Source organism: Homo sapiens, chromosome 6 (assembly GCF_000001405.40).
Source record: "Homo sapiens chromosome 6, GRCh38.p14 Primary Assembly".
Lineage (NCBI taxonomy): Eukaryota > Metazoa > Chordata > Mammalia > Primates > Hominidae > Homo > Homo sapiens.
This window is the reverse complement of record NC_000006.12, coordinates 71,404,699-71,420,977: the sequence shown is the minus strand read 5'-3', so window position 1 is coordinate 71,420,977 and position 16,279 is coordinate 71,404,699. Positions and strand designations below refer to the sequence as shown.

General features: G+C 39.1%; 1 long non-coding RNA gene across 4 annotated transcripts; it reads left to right on the top strand.

Annotated features, from left to right (window-relative positions):
* Nucleotides 1-232: 232 nt before the first annotated feature.
* On the top strand, nucleotides 233-13,114 carry LINC00472 (long intergenic non-protein coding RNA 472). 4 transcript variants are annotated; one of them, NR_026807.2, is made up of 4 exons: nucleotides 233-912; nucleotides 2,224-2,289; nucleotides 3,586-3,658; nucleotides 4,419-13,114. It is a non-coding gene; the product is annotated as a long intergenic non-protein coding RNA 472 (long non-coding RNA). The 4 variants fall into 4 exon arrangements; NR_121612.1 differs by having other exon boundaries at nucleotides 3,535-3,658; NR_121614.1 differs by lacking the exon at nucleotides 2,224-2,289.
* Nucleotides 13,115-16,279: the final 3,165 nt, after the last annotated feature.

Sequence of the window (16,279 nt, the reverse complement as noted above, 5' to 3'; positions counted from 1 at the left end):
TGGCTACACTCCCGGGGACTGGCTGGGCTTTCCGACACCTGATTGGGCGGAACAGCCCTCTGTACGCCGACATCATTGGAGGGCGCTGGAGCCAGGGGGCGGAGCGGGTTCCCCAGGATTCTTGACCGGGCGCGCTAGTCCGTCCGCTGAGCCGGGCGCGGGGCGCAAGAGCGGAGCTGCGCGAGCCGCTGCGGAGGGAAGGGCTCCTAGCCAATTGGGGTCTTTGAGGCGAATGCGAGGCTGGGGCCGGTTGCCTACCGGCCGCTTCTCGCCGAGGCAGTCCAGACTTTTCCCCCGGCGGTGCCCGCTCCAAGACAGCATCTGTCAACGCTCCTCTTCTCCCCTCCTCCTCCTGCCGGGCCGGGCTCCGCCGGCTGCGGCCGAGAGGACGCGGGACCCGGCGCGGTGAGCCCATCAGCTGTCAGGCGAGCGGCGAAGCGGCTGGAGGGCGGCGAGAGACACACAAAGAACGCGGTGGGCGGCGGCGGCGAAAGGGGACGGCAACTCCTCCCCGCGCCCGCCGGTGCCACCGCCGGCCGTGCTTGTTCCGAGGCCGCGCAGACAATGCGGCCGGGCTCGTCCCCGCGTGCCCCAGAGTGCGGAGCGCCCGCGCTCCCCCGACCCCAACTTGACCGTCTCCCGGCTCGCCCAGCCCCCTCCCGGGGTAGGGGCGCCCCCTCCCTCCGGTGGCCGGCGAAGGAAGTCGGTCCGCGGCCGCAGATCCCGGCAACTTGCGAACCGGGAAAAGTTTGCGGCGCCTCCGCGGGGCGGCGCGACGCGGCCCGCCCCTCGCGTCCGCGGTCATCGCGGGTGACTTTCTCGACTCGTCGTCAGCCGGGGCCGCAGCGCGGCCGGTGGGGACTGCGGGGCGGGCCGGAGTCCGTCCGAGGGCTCCCGCACCTCGGGCTGCGGGTGAGTCGGCTTTAGGCGCCGTGGGCTCAAGTGGTTTAGGGCACCTGGGCTTGGGAAGAAGTCGTGGAGAGAGCCTTTAATACTTTATGGAGCTGGCGGGGAGAACAAATAAAATTGCGGTAGCTTGAAGGGCACTGACATGCCACTGACTTGGGAACCGTATCCGTGGGAACTCTTCGGGTGCCGGCGCGACCAAGGGCCTGTGCGCGGCTGGGTGGGAGATGGAAAGGTTAGAAGGTCGCGGACTAGCCCTGCCTGCGACTGGCTCAGCTTGACCTTGGACCAGTGACTTTACCACTTAGATTTTTCTCGTGGGTAATATGTGGGGCCACAGCAACGTGGTCTATGCTGTCGTCCAGTTTTTAGACTACATCTCCGTTTTTGAGATTTTCCTAGGGCCTCAACACGGTGCGCGAGTTATCAAGCGATAGGCCAGGATATGTTTACATGCGCCTGGATTCACCTTTCAGCCTACTCAGAAGTAACTTTTAAGTCTGATGTTTTAAAACACTAACATTTAAAGGCTTTCCTTCACTATCCATTGCTTATTTTACGAACCTTAGGATTGTCGTATTTTGCTGCACCATTTGGAATCCTAGGGGCCAGGGTGGGGACAGAGAGCCAAGTCTGAGGGTGAAGTGGCAGGTGCCCCCGGGCGATCCCTGCCGGATCCAGTTGAGGGGGAGAACAAAGCATTTATTATGCATAAGAGAGAGTGAACAGGGCAGGTGTTTGTGTTTTTGTTTTCTGTATTATACTGAAAACTTTTTTTGGTTGGGGGGGTGCGGGCAGTGGAGGAGGGGACAAAGAAGAAAAAGAAATGTCAAAAAAGAGAGGAAAATGTCACTTATACCCAAAGTAAATCTTAAAACTAATGTAAGTCTTCCTTACAGGAACAGCAACACATAATGCAAGTACATCTTGATCTAATTTTAATGAAGGATTGAAAATAGCTACTGTGTTCAGTATTACTGACGCCAAGGCAGCTCACTTACATAATCTTCTTTGTTGAGATGTGTTAGTGGCATGTATAATTTTGATAAATAATTAATGTTAAAGGTTTAGTCCGGCAATGGTATTGAAATATTGTCGTCACAGATTGTATTGCAAGACAATGGTGTGTAAACTTTTGGTTATCATGATAACCTGCATTTTTTTCTCTAAACAGTAAAATCACACATTTTTCATAACCAAAATTCTCTTAAATAATGCATGTGTACTTTGTCAGTAGTGTATACAGGAGAAATTATTTTGTTCTGTAAATGACAAAGTCTTTCAGTTTTCTCACCATTTCATGAGAGTGAATTCTAGATTTCAGGTACTCCACTGGGCATTTTCTCTTCATGGAGCTTATAGCAACAAAAGTGTTTTACAAAAGTAAGTGCATAAGTATAGATACTCAACCAATATTTGCTGAATAAAATACTCAGATGACAATAATTAAAAGTCCATCTTGTTCATCCTTAAAGAGAATGATGATCATGCTTTAGTGGAGAGAATGAAAGTATCAAAGAAAGAACTGGCAGAAAAACAGAGCTTAGTTCCAGTATCTAGCCTAAATGTTTATGCTTTAAAACAGGTATACGCATTTGAAAAGAGACAAAGACAAGTGATAGGGTTTCTAGGAGAAAGATAGCAGTATTGATTTAACGTAGTACATTTTATGACCTAGTTTTGTTTGAAGAACACGAACGTTTGTAAAGGTATATTTCTTAAATAATCAGTAGCTGTTTGCATTGTGATTGGATGTCTAATTAAATGGCCTAATCGTAACCATAATATCTCACTTGAATGCTGTTTTTAAATTCATTTTTAAAATAGCTTGAAATAAACCAATTTAGTTACATGAAGGAAAGTATACCTTTTGAAATCAAAATCCACAGTGAGGAAAAATTATTGTCAGTGTATCACCAAATGTAAATTAAGCACTGGAAGTAGCATCTTGCCAAGAAGGTCTTCACTCTAGACAATCACTTTGTGTAGAAGAGGTATAATGTGGAATGTGGACTGCAGTGAGAGATGCCCTTATTCCTCTGAGGGTCTATTTGGTGACATCAGGAAAATACTAACGCCCCCCCACCACTTCACCATTTGTAAACCTGGCAACTTCTGGAAAGCCTAGTGGCCTTATTTCAAAGTAACCACTCAACCTAGAACTTAGCATTGATATTTGAACAGGCTATTTTTGTAGAATATGGGTTCTCCTCTGTGCAGATTTGCTGGCTGGGCTATCTTGTAAGAGATCACAGCAGTTTATCTCAGAGTGTAGTCCTTAGATCACCTGTGTCAGAATCACCTGTAGTGCTTACAAAACTTCAAAATCCTGGGCACATCCCACATTTACATAATCAGAATGTCTGTGAACAGAACCTAGAATTTCTGTTCATAAAACCCATTTATGCCTAGTGTTCCATTATTGGAATGCTGAGCTTGTGGGAGTTATTTATATCCTACGGCTCGAGGTCATTGCCAAGGTCTGATTTTTCGCAAAAAAATGTGCAACCTCTGGCATAAATGGGTTAATGAACTCCTTCAGAAGTGAGAGTTAATTACACTAAATTTTAAGAATTAGTGTTAGAGTTTTCTTGCCACAGTTGTAATGCTCATGTTGCTTTCTTCCAGGAACATTAAAATCTCCCCAGATGCTCACTGCTCTGATCATTTCCCCTACAGCACCAGACATGTTGGCATCATCTCTTAGTTGGGCCATGTGGCCAGGGAACCCTTCATGAAACCACCTCTGCAGGTAAATCAACATAGAATATACCACCTACAAGCAGAGTTAAGGCTGCTTTGGGACACAAGGCTCAAGAGACCACAGTTCACAGACCCCTCCTACTAGTGGGATACTCCCACCATCCTCCTTAACCTGTTGGTGATTTGTGGGAGTGGCAGTCCCAGCGTTCTGTTCAACTAGGGATATACCGTTTCAAGCAAATGATTGGAAATGGACCCTAAGGGACGGATGACCTGAGAGAGAACAGACAAGAATGGTGGATGGAGGGCTGTCCCTTCAACATCCTTCAAGCCTCAGATTTCAAAAACTTTAGTCCTAAAGCAGATAATTTGGCAAGCAAGTGTGGCTAAGCCCAGGCACCTCTGTTCTTGGTTGTCAAAACTTTAATCTACAAACTCATATAATGGCTCCTATAATCTCTATCTATAAATGCCCAACATGTGAGAATTTTCAAGCTTATCAGTTAAAAAAAGGTCGGGGGGCAGTGATTGTTTAGAAGAGAGGTTCAAAGCATAGGTTGAGGAGTCAACCAGTCCTGATTGCAATCCTAGTTTTGCCATTTACTGCTTGGGTGGCTTCAACCTACATCCTTGACTCTAAGTTTGTTTCCTTACTTGAAAAATGAGGATAATAGTACTGCCTCATAGGAGTTGTTTTGTAAATTATGTAAGATTATAAATTAAAACATCAGCTAATAAATCACACGGTATATATTTAATATATGTAGCTTTTAATTTATTATAATAACTTTTTCAAATTTCCTTTTTAGTCCTGGAGAGTTGCTGTAGAAGAAGGAAAAGAGAGGAAGACAACACAACACAGGAGGGGATAAGTACCTCTGGACACAATGGAAGTAGTAGTTGTTGAGCAGAGGGAAAGGGATAGGAGAAGGATGTGGACTGCAGTGCTGCAGTGCCAGGTAATAACTTTGATCATGTACCTCCTTGGCTCAGGTGCTGTCTCTTCTACTCTCCTCCTTACTTGTACTACCTTATTTAGCACTTAATTATATACTTTCTTGACTCACTTTGAGACACACTGATTATGTGGTCTGCCTCAAAGACAGAATCCTAGTTTTGGATTTTAGCATTACTGATCTATAGCCTTGCAGGGGCTTAAGGATGGCAGCTGTCTCTCTCCCTTGGGATCTAGCTTTTGCAAATATTGAAGGGAAGAGATTTCTTTGATCTTATAGGAATAGATCCACAGTTCCTCTCCAGATTTGCTTTTATAGAGAAGTGTGTGTCACCAAAACAATGGAGATACGGTCAGAGAGGCCCCTACCCCCAGAATTTTAATATAATTTTACTTTCTGGGGCATTTATTCTTGACAAATACTTTCTCTCCTATCAGCTCACTTGTTCCTCACAAAAACCCTATAAGATATTAATATTATTAAACAGACCCCTATGAAGCACCTCAAGTCTTTCTCTCTTCCCACTTCCATTCTTGCACACCTTTTGCTAGACTAGTCTCTGCGTTCATCACATCAGGTTTCTAAAATAAAAGTCCCCTAATAACTTTCTATTTGTTCTCTCATCATATTGAACCTTTTTTGCCTGGCTTATAAGGTGGCCTTAAAACCCCATTTTCCTCTAAACATTGTCTCTGTAGTTCAGGAATATGGCAGGCTCAACACTATGCTTGAGCCCATATTGCTTCCCTCATTAGTGATGCCTCCTCTCAGACCACCCAGATTCTACTCATTCTTCAATTTCCAGCTTCTCCTTGGAGCCTTCCCAGATCATTAGCTTCTTAAAAATCCCAGCTTTCTCTGAATTCTGATGGTAGCCCCCGTTATTTGGACAATTATGTCCTGGTCTTAAAGTCCTAATGGGAAAAAAAAGTACATGATGGACTTCATGTAGAGAAGAAAGCACTGGACTGAGTTTTAAGACAGCTGCTAAGGAGCTGTGTGAGCCAAACCAGGTTACTTTACCTCTCTGGATCTATATTTGCTGATCTGTTAAGTGGAGACAATTGGGTCAGATAATCTTGGTGGTCTTTGCTTATTCTGAGGTTCTTGGACAACTTGGCCTAGTTCACGTGGGATGGGATTGAAGATCTTACTGAGTTCTTGGATGGAAATGTCAGTAATGGGCACTTAGTGCCTTCAGGACTTGTTCTATACTATCCCAGAAATTTCTGATGCTAAACTTGGCAATTTTTAAATGTCATATTCCTTTTCTCCAAACTCTTTAACCACAAGAATTCAGGGAAGGTTATGGGGGGTGACTTAGTTATCTGGATAATACATATTGTGGACAATATAGCATTATCCTTGGGAATGATTTCATATTGTTGAATAAATAGGATCAACTTCTTGATAAACCTTAGTCCCAAGCATTTCATCTTCATTGGATAGTGTTACATAGTAATATATTTATGTTTTCTTTTAATCATTTCATAACTTGGAAAATACTAACATAGTCAAAACTCTAGGGTAGGTGATACATGAGTTTCTGTAGTAATCTGGTTGGAGACATGTTGTAATTCTGTATATATATGTACATTTATCCCATGCATGTTATGCCTAAACTAAGACGGATACCCCTGAATTAAGAGGTGCTGTTATACATTGACCAGGCTTAAGAATATCTCTTTAAAGTGTGTCGACATTTAATTGACCTTTGGAAGTTCATTCTGTTAATCATACTCAAAGTGCTAAAGCTATGGTTGACTGCTCTGGTGTTTTTATATTCATTCGTGCTTTAGCATATAAATTCTTCAGCATAATTGCTACTTATTTAGCAAGAGTTTCCTTTATTTGAAAATGTGAGTTGTGCTTGTATTTTTGTGTCTTTCTTTCTTTCTTTCTTTTTTTAAACTTTGCTTCAGGCTGGGTAGTGGTAGAGGTTTGAATTAAAATGTTTTCCTGTCAGTAGTTGTATGAGGTGTGGCTTCTTAATCTAGAAGTAATGGAAATTTCTTGCTTAAATGAAGTGCACTTTTCTTCCTGCAGAAGTTAGAACTCTTTTAGACAAGCTTAACACTTCAAAACTGTATATCTTTAACAGAAACTTTTGGAAATTTTTAAATTCCATTTGTGTAGATTAAAAATATCAATGCTAATACTTTCTATTAAATAAGGATTTATCTATTTTCATAAAACCTCTAATTATATTCCTTGAATTGCTATGAGTAGAATTTTGTTGTAAACACAATATTTTTAAAAAGTCAAATATATTTTAAAAATCTTAACATTATATTACTATAACTTAGAGAACAGGTGTTTACATGTTTAAAATTTTCTAGGCCTTAAATTTGTGAAATCAGTCTTTCAGAAGTTATTTTTAATATAGTTATCTGTGTTACAGGTTTATAAGTTGACATTTCAATTTAAAATTTTTTCAATTTATATTTCAATGACCAGGAAAAAATAGTTAAACTTATTCCTAAATTTTAATAGAAAAATAAAAAACCACATAGTTGTTAATTTCTGGTAATTTATCTTGAGACTCCAGGCATGTTTTTAGAACATTTTTACCTTAAAAGCAATTTTGAAATAGGGAAATTAAAGTTTAAAGCAGAGTTTTCACTTTAATGAGGTAATTTTATACTTCCCAGATAGGTAGGCCCATATTCAAGAACACTCTGATCTCTGTTTATAGTAAGTTTTGATGCCATTATATCATTTACTTATTCACGCATTATAAGCATAGTAGATAGCCCCATTGTCACGAAGCTGGCATTATTTTCTTGTCTGTCATTCAATATTGTCCCCTTTTTTTTTTCTGTTTTCATCATAGCCGTCCTTTTCATTTTATTGTAGCCCTGACTCGAAATGAAAGTAAGTTTGAACTCTTAAAAAAGAGTTCCTCAAACTCTTTTTTAAGAATATACAGTGAAATGTCTTAAATAATATTATCTAAATAATACCTAAAGAATGCAAATGACTTGCAATGCTGAATAGTCAGACACAGGATGTTCCATGCTAAGGGTAGACTCATATTTCCACTTTATAAAATGTGGTTTCAGAAAACAAATAGATGTGTTTCTTCCTTAATAATTAGTGTTTCAGGACCAAAGTTGACTAAATATGGAAGTTTAAGATAAAACCCGGTTTCTTAGGGAATCTTTCTCAGTCCTTAGTAATTCTGTAGAATTGATGATAGAGTGGCAACTTCAATACACTCAGTATTCTTTTCTGTTTGAAGTCTGTTTTGCCATTGGAAAAAACTTATTGTTGTTTGAATTTGGGTATATGTATTCACAGATGGTTTACTTTATTTTTATTTTGTTTAAACAAATACTTTCATGTCCCAAACACTGAGACATGTTTCATGTCCTAAACACTTTATAAATATTAGAATATTTAATCCCCTTAACTCTGTAGTTATAATTATCTTCATTTTACAATTGAGAAAACTAAGATACGACGTTTTATTTAATGGTAACGCCTTAAGTAAGGGGAGAGTGATAAGTGTAAGCAGAGTGGAAAACTTAGTAGTGCTAAGGAGCAACAGAAGTATGTGCAAGAGTTTGGGAAGATGTGTCTGCTTGGAAAGGATCAGGGACTCAGCTGGGATCAGTCTTAAAGAGCAACATGTCCTCATTCCTCAATTTTAAGCCTTTGGGCTCTAGAAGTAAAGGGCAAACTTAGAGGAGGCACTCCTCAGGTTTCAGCTGCCTGTTCCGGCCTGGTGAGGTGGCTGTACTGGCTCATGTGTTTCTCATAGGGCTACATGAGCCTTTATGTCTTACCTCCTCCTCATTTCTTGGCTGACTCCTGCTTTTTTGGAGGGTTTAACTTCTCTCTCAGCTAGAAGGTTAGGCATTGCAAATACCAGTGGATAATTTTTTTCTTAGCTTTAACCCCAGCCCATTTCAACCCCCTCTTTGCCCTTTGTATATTCTTTTGAAAATATGATCCAGTAGTGTTTATGAATGTGTGTTGTGTAAAATTTAGAGATTGATGTTAAACAACAGAATTAAAGGACAAAGCTGTCTTTTTTGTTGGAATTGGGGATGGGAGAGCAGCTCAAAGTGGGAAATATGGAGAAAGGAGAGACATTGTGGAAAAGAAGAGATAAATTGAGGGGAAAAAAAGAGGATGAAAAAATGAAGAGAGAGAATTACTGATGTGCTTCACACCCACACCTCCTCTCCAACTTCACAGTAACAGAGGCAATGTCACTATCTTTTACCTGACAAGTGCTTTACCAGGGAGTTGTGCCTGGCATCGTGGGAGTGGAAAATTTTTCCCTTTTGCATTTTGAGACTTGGGTGTGCTGCTTTAAGATGCCACTGGTATCTAAGTAATGTTTGTTTATACTGGATATTTTTCTCTGTAGCCTTTGTGGATTGGACTTATAATATAAACAATATTGTTAGCAGAACTGCAGGTACTCTATTGCTATGTTTATTTTATTAGTTAAAAAACTACCAGAGCCCTAGGACTTCTGAGCACATTTAGAAAATACCAGAGGCAATTTTAAGACTAGCATTAGAAAGAAAGAAAAGAATAAGAATAAAACTAAGACTTGCATACCTTAGAATCCTAACCAATGTGGTGATTTTTAAAAATTAATGTTTCAGAGACTCTAAATTAGGGTAGTTGGTTTCATCAATTACATTTTTTAAGTTAATATAAAGTGCTTTTGTATGTAAATTCTCTTAATAGATAATTTAGGTAAAATGAAAGTGTGGCATTTTTTGTTCCATAGAATGTAAAACTAACGTCAGAATAAGAATTCTTTTGGGAATTTAGGATTTTTTTGATGCTTCTCAAATCATCTGTAATGACTTTTATTTATAGAAAAGGTAGATTATTCATTAGTTTTTATGAAAAACACTCAGTTTAAATAGCCGGGTATGGTGGCGCATGGCTGTAGTCCCAGCTACTCAGGAGGCTGGGCACGAGAATTGCTTGAACCTGTGAGGCAGAGGTTGCAGTGAGCCAAGATCGCACCACTGCACTCCAGCCTGGTCCAGAGTGAGATTCCGTCTCGAACAAAACAAAACAAAAATATTGAGCTAATCTAAATGGTAAAAATCTAGATTTGAAGAAATTTATTTTAAAATAGTTGTTCATTTGTCAAATAGAAAAGTATGATCTTAGCAGGTTTGGTTAGATCCCTATCTGAAACAAAGTAAACTAAAGATGTTTTTCTTGATCAATGCATAGCAATAACTGCTGTTCAAACATGTGAGGAATCACCAGTAAATTGGGGGATAGAAAGCAGGAAAAGGAGCTTTTTTCTCTTATTTTTTTTCATTTATCAGTTTTTCCCATTTGTCCATCCTTTCCTATAATCATGGAAATTTTTATTTTTTACACTCCTCTCCCCATTTTTTTATCCTAGATTGCCACCACACCAAGGTTTTCTAGAGTTAGGCAGAAAGAGAACCTGGGCCTAGATGCTAATGGAAACTATCCCATGCTTTCTCAGACTCTCTTTCCTCCCCAGAGACAAGAGGAGCAAAACAGGAGTTGATGGCTCATTGCTGTTGCTTCTGTGGCTGCCCTGTTTGGTTGACCTGAGCTTTTTTTAAAAACCTCCACTCTTGACGCTTAACTCTATGAATAAAATTAGGGCCAGTCACACTGTATTTTCATCATCAGTTATCCCTAGTGATTCAAATTTAGCACAAACCTGCTGTGAGTACATATTAATTAGGTGAATACAGTAGAATGCAATCATAACATGAGTCTTTTAATAACTATTCTTTGTTTGATTTTTATTTTAGAAGTTTGAAGTTATTTTGTTGAAAATCTAGAAAATCTTTATGTGAGCAACTGAGGTTCGGGTAGCCCACAACAGTTTAAATCAAACATTAACTTGCAGTAAAACACTACTGAAAGTGTCTTTGATTTTGAGGTGCAGAGAGCTGTTTCAAGTTAAGTTGCTATATTAGTCTGTTCTCATGCTGCTAATAAAGACATACCTGCAACCGGGCAATTTATTAAAAAAAAAAAGAGGTTTAATTGACTGACAGTTCCACATGGCTGGGGAGGCCTCACCGTCATGGTGAAAGAGCAAGGGATGTCTTACATGGTGGCAGGCAAGAAGTTTGTGCAGAGGAACTCCTGTTTATAAAACCACCAGATCTCATGAGACTTACTCACTACCAGGAGAACAGGATGCGGGAAACCACCTCGGTGATTCAGTTATCTGCACCTGGCCCCACCCTTGACACATGTTGATTATTACAATTCAAGGTGAGATTTGGGTAGGTACACAGCCAAACCATATCAGCTGCCCATTCTCCTGTGCAGTGACATAAAGGTCTGATAACCTGATTTAAAGCTTGGACTCTAAGATTTTTTTTTTTCTTTTTTTGAGTCAGGTTATCTCTGTCGCTCAAGCTGGAGTTCAGTGGCATGAACAGGGCTCATTGCAGCCTCAACCTTCCAGGTTCAAGTGATTCTCTTGCCTCAACCTCCTGAGTATCTGGGGCTACAGGCATGTGCCACCGTGCCAGGCTAATATTTTTATTTTTATTTTTGTAAAGATGGGGTCTCACTTCTGGGCTCAAGCAATCTTTCCTCAGCCTCCCAAAGTGCTGGGATTATAGGTGCGAGCCACTGCACCCTGCTGTAAAGAATTTCATATCCCTGTTTTCGGTGTGCTGTGTCACTGTTTGCCATGGGTAAAGGTATATGAATCTCTTTTATTTTGCTGCTTGCAACCCAATTCCCATGCCAAACCCAATTTGTATCCAAACAAACAATATTGGAGACAAGTTCTTCTATAGAAAGCTTCATAAGCCAGTTACTGACTACTGTGTCTGTAAATATACTCAAACTATTTTGTAGTCTTGCTATTTTAAAAAATGTGTGGGTGTGGGAAGTGATGTTGAATGAATTCAGGGTAATTGGTGGTTCTTTGTATTAGGAAAACTCACTAGTTAAGGGAAGTCTGTTTTCATGATTCATGTATGTTTAACTTAAAAAAAAATTCTTCCATCCTTCTCTCCAGTTTCCACTCTACCTCATAAATTCAAGTAATGAAGGAATTTAAATAATAGAATTTTATAACTGAAAGGATTTTGGAGAGAATCTATTAACCCTCCTACTACAGTTGAGGAAATAGATGTCCAGTGAGGTCAAATGAGATCATGTAGCTAGTTTAAAAACCCAAATAACATTTTAGTAGTTTGTTTCCATTAGTAAACACTGTTCTGTTTGATTTGCCCTAACATGTTCATAATCAGAGTCATAATAAGGAAAAATCACTAATATGTGTGTGGTACTTTCTTGTGCATACCTCAGTCACTTCTCAAAAGAGGTCTGTAAGGTGTCGGTATCCTGGTTTCCATTCAGGGAGAGAACAGTCTATGAGCCTAAGAGACCTGTCTGTGCCAGTCACTATCAGAACAGTCTAATGCTATGTGTCTTCCTACCTTGGCAAAAGCATTGGCTGGTCTCTGGACAGTTCTCATAGACCACAGGATTGGGCAGGGGGGAGCCACATCTTCATGTTAGGGCTCTAACCTGTACCAATTATTAACTGTTGTCTCTATTTCATCATTTCTTAAAGGGAAAAAAAAGCACTTTTTAAAGAGCATGAGATTTTAAATTTTTCAAAAGAAGGATGCTGGATCATTATAAGTAAGGCATGTTTTAAAGATCTTCTTATCAACAGCTTAAAAATTAGCCAGTATATACTGAACATCCACTGTATAAAAAGCACATTATGGGGTGCTCCAGTAGGTACAGCAGTGATCGAGACAGAATCATAGCCTTCAGGGAAGAGGTATATGCAATGTTCTCTCCTTCCAAAGATTACCTAGATAGAGAACTGTTCATAAGAAATATCTTGGTACTGTCTACATTACTCTTGAGATATAAAATATATATTATTTCTTACGTCTGAAATGAGTCAGTTGTTTCTAAAACAATTTGTATTAAAGTATTCACATTAAAAATTTGTAAAATACAGAAAAGTAGAGAGAAAAAATCATGAATTTTTAACATGGTAATGATTATATCAGTTTCGTTCTTGGCGTTTCTTTAACTTGATGGGATAGCTAATGTTTTTTGTCATTGCATAGCTTTGTAAACTTGTCCTAAGGATTATATAATTTCAGCATGAGTTAGTTTCTAAGTATGTCAGAAATCTAGCTTTTTTGTGGTAATTGTTGTTTTACACAAAATGATTAATAAAAGACTCTAAACTAACCTTGGCTTTAGAAATGCTTTTTAAATTTTAAAATAGTGAATGAGTAGCAGATTACTTTCTAGTATTTCTTTAAGGTCACCAAAATCACTTAACTTGCTTAAAATATTGATGGAAATATCAACTACGTACAGTTGACCTAAATTAGAAATGGGTGTTTTTTAAATAGTGAAATTTATAAATATAATATGTATATTTTAAAATACAGTTTATATTATAGAGTTATGTTCCTCTGTAATAATTTCTCTTTACACTGAATCATGTTCAGTTTTTATTATGCAGATAATTTAATCTTACAGCTTTGATCTTTTTTAAAAAATAAAACAGCCATTTGGAGTCTAAATTCAGCCATGTGATTATTACAATGAAATTCATCTTAAATCTACCTAATGTCCCTTTAGATATAAGACCTATTTCAATAGAAGGGCGTTTCTTGGTTAGGGTTGCTCTTCCCGAGAGGAGTCTCCTGGAGCAGGAGCCCCTGGGGAGGAGTGAACTGAGCCAGCAGGTGGTCTAAGGGAGGTGCCAGGGAACTGCTGACAGTGACTTGCCTGAAGGAAGGGAGGGAGCAGGATGGGAGTGGGGTGGAAAGTCCCTTATTAGCCTGGAGGCTGGGATGCCCTGACCCTCTGGAATCCCCCTCCCTTGTAAGAATGCCAGCCAAAGTAGGAAGGAGGAGCTCCAGCCAGATGGGGGTCCCAGTGCAGGAGGAAGATAGTAGGGTGACCACAACCAAAAAAGCTGTCTGACAGGCTTTGAGATCTCTTGTCTGAGGAACTCCGGCATAGATAGTAAGTCAGTATTCACTTAGAGGAGAGTTTGGCAAGTGAATATATATGATGAATGAATGAGTAACTGAATGAACTGCTTTATCACCAAAGGATCTGGATATTTGTTTCTACTCTCAAACATTTTTTGATTTGTTAACTTTTTATGCCCAATTTTAAAAGAAAATGCAATTTTCATTGAACTATGATTGACTACTTCATATTTATTGAAACCCACACCCTCCAGTACTCCACAAATGATTCAGAAAAGCTTACAATAAAAAAAATCAGAATAGAAAAGTGAGTAACGGATGTGATTTCAATTCTCCAAGCCTGTTGTCCTTATCTGTGATGGTAATGATTATAGATGCCTTATCTTGCTGTGGCAGGGATGAAATGAGATCATGTGCAGGCATTATTTGTCATACAACAAATACATAGTTGAGGTTGTATTAAAATTAAGGCTTTAAACTTGAGTACATACACTTTTGCTTAATTCTCAATTTATTTTTCATTACCATTTTATCAGAGAATGATATTTAAGCGATACTCATTTCTAGAGTAGAAGAGATTTTATTCCTTATAACTGTAAACTCTATACTATCCAAGATAATACTCTTCTTCCTAGAATTTGAATTCGTTAACAATCTTTCACATTTTCACAATCCATGGGAAATCACTCCCAGTAAATGCTTACAGCATTCGTCCACTTTCATGAGGCAAGGAGTAGGTAGGTCTGTATTTGTATTAATTACAAAGAAATTCAAGGGAAGGTTCATCATTATCATCGTTAGCAGGAAATATAATGAATTAGAAGCCCTTGAATTGGACTAAAAGAGTGTGGAGTATGTGTAAAAGAATGAATCAGAGAAGGTAAAGATTAATTTTAAAGGGCAGAATTTTGTTTGTACATTTAGGTCACTTCAATTTCAGATCAGTTCTATGTATGCTTTCTAGAAAAGATATCAAAGACCACCTAGATTTCTTGCCTTTAGGTGTGTTTTACCAAAGGAACAAGACAGAAGATGAATGCCAAAACTATTAATGCAGCTACCCTGGACACTAAGCCCCCAAAGAGATGGAGGATTGGAGGATGTAGAGCCTGGGCACTGGGTCCAGTGCTGACATGGAACATGTTCATTCTTAGAGTTTCACTGCAAACACTCCAAGGATAGAGAGCGAGAAGGTTATGTGGACATGAGAGGAGAAGGGTGGAAGAGGATTGAATGGTTCAGGGTAGCTAAAAAAAATTTTTACACTTTATCTCGGGCTGCTTCTAAACCCTCCACCAGAAAGAATTAATCCTGCAAGCACTTAAAACAAAACTGATGTGAGGAAGATAATAAAACCTGTCCAGGGTACAGACATCCAGATTTGCAATTTAGGGTGGGAAGACTTTAGAGACCTTGTCTAACAGGGCTAAAGAGTATCCTTATGGTTTTAAAGTAGGTACATTGTTTTTTGTAAGCATTTCTAGGGTTATATAAGACAAATCAGAGTCTGATGTATTGAACACAATTGGATCTTATTCTGCCATATTTGTTTTTAATTCACGATTTTTAAATGGATTTACTGGTCATATTTCTCAGGTCATGGCAAGATTTTTTAGTCTTAAACTTATTTAGCTCAGTCCTTCTAGATCAATGGTTCTCTGCCCTGAAGGTGTAGCAAAATTGTTTGATAGCTTTTGCAAAATTTACATACCCAGCAGCCTCCCCATCAGCTGAATAAGAATTGCAATGTGGATGTGGCAGAGGCAATCAGGTATGTGGGGTTAGAAGAAGCTGTCCTGGTCATTCTGTTGCCACCCTCTCACTTGGAGAATTGCTGATCCAATGAATTCCTTAACATAACTTTGAAAACACAGCGTTTTGCTCAGAACTTCATGAATAAACATCAAATTTTCACTAAACAAAATAATTAAAGACCATAAGATCTTAGTTATAATACTTCATAAATGGAAAAGCACTTTATTGCCTGTATGTATGTGGGCTCCTCTTTTAGCAAGATATGAGCTAGGTGAAGTCTATGTGAAAGCTAAAGCAGATTTATTCCAGTCAGATGCCAGACAATTTTACCAGTTTAACTGAGACTCATTATTACTTAAACTACATGCTTGTTTTTTTGGTTACTGAGTAGTATAGGTCCCACTTGGATCAGCAATTCTCAAAGTGAGAGGGTGGCAATAGAATTATTTAAGTAATTATTTGTTATTTGAGGTTGTTTGCTTAGTATTTACTTGTCACTGTTTTACATGTTATTTAATAATTTACAGTTATTTAAAAGTGGTAAGATTCCAAGGCAAGTAGGGGACCTGTCACTTTGAGAAAAATTTATGGTGGTAAAAATATTTTCTTTTTGTAAAGAGTCACTGATATACAATGTCCCCCCAGGGTGTAAGCCTTGGTATTTATCTATTTTAATTAAAGAGTACTCTGCCTGTCTAGTCGTGGCTAACTTAAAAGAAGTGGGTATCTTGGTGAGAAGTTCACAAGGTTGGTAGCCATAGCTGAGTTTGGTGGATTGACTCAAGCTCTAGTCAGCAGTGGTATATGAATGCCAAGTACTAAGAATTTCTGGAATGTAGAATTGCACAGCACTGATAAAGTTTGCTTTGTTCCCCTGTGTGACTTGACCCATTGAGAAAACTGGTTCCCTAGGAAGTTTTAATAGTTCAAAGTCCTTAGTTAATAAAGAAAAAGGCCACAACATAATTCAGCTTGTTTTCACCTGCTGACTCA